General features: G+C 39.9%; 1 annotated feature.

The window, feature by feature from the left end:
- Positions 1117-2053: an enhancer, noted in NCBI's record as "NANOG hESC enhancer chr5:102908623-102909559 (GRCh37/hg19 assembly coordinates)". NCBI's record gives its function as "activates a minimal SCP1, AML or CMV promoter by ChIP-STARR-seq in primed H9 embryonic stem cells {active_cell/tissue: H9 hESC(primed)}" and the evidence as "EXISTENCE:reporter gene assay evidence [ECO:0000049][PMID:30033119]".

Raw genomic sequence — 2385 nt, forward strand, 5'->3', positions numbered from 1 at the left:
TCAACGGAGAAAGAGACAGGATTTTATAGCCCTTCAGATTCTTATTACCGTGTTTTGGCGATGTTGGAAGTGCATGTTAAAATGACAAAGTCGGCCGGGCGCAATGGCTCACTCCTGTAATCCTGGCACTTTGGGGGGCCGAGGCGGGCGGATCAACTGAGATTGGGAGTTTGCAACCAGCCTGACCAACATAGAGAAACCCCGTCTCTACTAAAAATACAAAATTAGCCGGGTGTGCTGGTGCATGACTGTAATCCCAGCTACTCGCGAGGCTGAGGCAGGAGAATTGTTTGAACCCAGGAGGTGGAGGTTGTGGTGAGCTGAGATAGCGCCATTGTACTCCAGCCTGGGCAACAAGAGCAAAACTCCGTCTCAAAACAAACAAACAAACAAACAAAAAATGACAGTGTCACTAGGAGACAGGACTGGCATTTACTCTTGGGAGAGAGCTGCCATATCTGCCATGGACTTTGAGTGAGAAATCAACCTTTGTGGTATAAACCACTGAGATTTGAGGGTTAGGTTGCCACCTCACCATAGCATAGTCTATTCTAGTATAGAGTACAGTGAGGAGATGAACTCTGAACTAAGTTTTGGAGGGCCAGGAGCAAAGACTGGACAAAGTCTACATGTTAGAGGCTCTCCTTTCCATCTTGCCAAGATAGAACCTGGTCCCTTAAAAGAGTAGGGGCAAGTTTAGAGATAAAAGTAGGTTAATATTCCAGATGCTAAAGAGGTAGCAGAGTCTACTAAGTGTCAGATATGTCAGAAAAACACACCATAAAATCCTGATATCCAAGGGCCCTGGTAGGCCAAGCGCTGACGGCGCTGTCAGCAATCCACAGCTTGTCTGATTTAAGGCCCATTGTGCTCACTCTGTTTTTGCAAATACATTTCCCCGTACTGAAAATGACAGCATGTAATAGCAGTTGGCAGAGGTGACCAGAATAAAACACTTTACCCTTTGCAATGTGTACATCCCGAAATGCCTTTAATCTTTAAATGCACTCATTTATGATTTTTGTGGGTAACAAGCCACTTTTGCTGAGTTTAATGGTCATTTCATCTGTCTTATGATTTTCAAAAACAACTTTTAGAGTATTTTTACTCTTGGAAGCATACAGAAATGACTGTATTTTCCATGCAAACATCAATTTAGTTTATGCATTTTAGAAAGAATTCCCAAACAGTGGTTTATTCTTATTTACAATCATTTCTCCCCCTTTGCTGTATGAGTTGTGTTTTATGAAGCAGCAACCATGATGTGAGGAGGAGTCTGTCTGATCAGAGGGAGAATTAACATTGCTTGAAAGAGCAGCATTCTTTCTGTGTACTCAAGTTAATTGGTGCAGTAATTTAATCATTGAGCCTCTGTTCACATTTCATGTGTAAGTCACTTAAACTTTTTTTTTTTTGCTTTTTTAGAATGTCTAGGTTGATGAGCATTTAAATAAATTTGTAGCATTTAAAAATGTCCTCAAAACTGATTGCAGCATGACATCCCTCAGATTTTGTATTCAGTTTTAGTTTAGTTACTTTGAAGCTTTCAGATGAAAAAAACACCTAAATTTAATATTCTGCAACAGGTTTTTCCATCACTATGCTGAAGCCCAGAGGAACGCAGTGTATTTTTTGAGTTTTAGTCTTCAATTTTTTCCTTAGGGTATTTTTGACCCCAGATACTTTTTCCTTTAAATTTGACTGAGCTGTGATCATGACTCTGACCTCTAGCCTTGAAAGAAGAGGAGTTATACCTCTCAGGAGCGATGCCTCAGGCACTTTGCAAGTCGGCTGGCAGGGATTATTTCCTAGGCTGTGAAGTGATGACCTTCTATGGAGAGTGAAAGTCTGCAATGCAGGTAAATTCCTTCAGCCAGGATTGAGAGCCTTAGGTTTGCTACCTGCTCTATGAATCAGAGTTTTCCTTCTCTATGGAGGACATGTAATTTAGCAGTATATTTAAAGCCACATGTTATGTGCTCACATGTTGGTTAATTTACTGTTGGAGGTGAATATATTCTGATTTTGAGTTCCATAAAGGATTGGTTCAGAAGGAAATCTGGAAATTTGGACTAAAAAGCAAGGATGACTTTACTGTGATTAAAGGACACCTTACCTGTTATTTCTAAACAAAGTGCCCTGACAGTGCTCTCTCAGCTGTTCCCAACTTGTCTGATTTCAGTATCCCAGAGAGGATTTCTGTTGCTTCCTAAGCTATCATTACAGCAATAATATAATGCTGATTGCTACGATATTTTCAGAATACATTAAAAGGAGGAATGAAATTTAGAATGATTAATAAACACTTTTAGAATTTGTGGGATGGCATTTTGTTTTTATTCTCTGAATAGAACTGTCAGTCTGAATGCAGTAAATTTCTAGAGT

The sequence above is a fragment of the Homo sapiens genome, chromosome 5 (genome assembly GCF_000001405.40).
Source record: "Homo sapiens chromosome 5, GRCh38.p14 Primary Assembly".
Taxonomy (NCBI): Eukaryota; Metazoa; Chordata; class Mammalia; order Primates; family Hominidae; genus Homo; species Homo sapiens.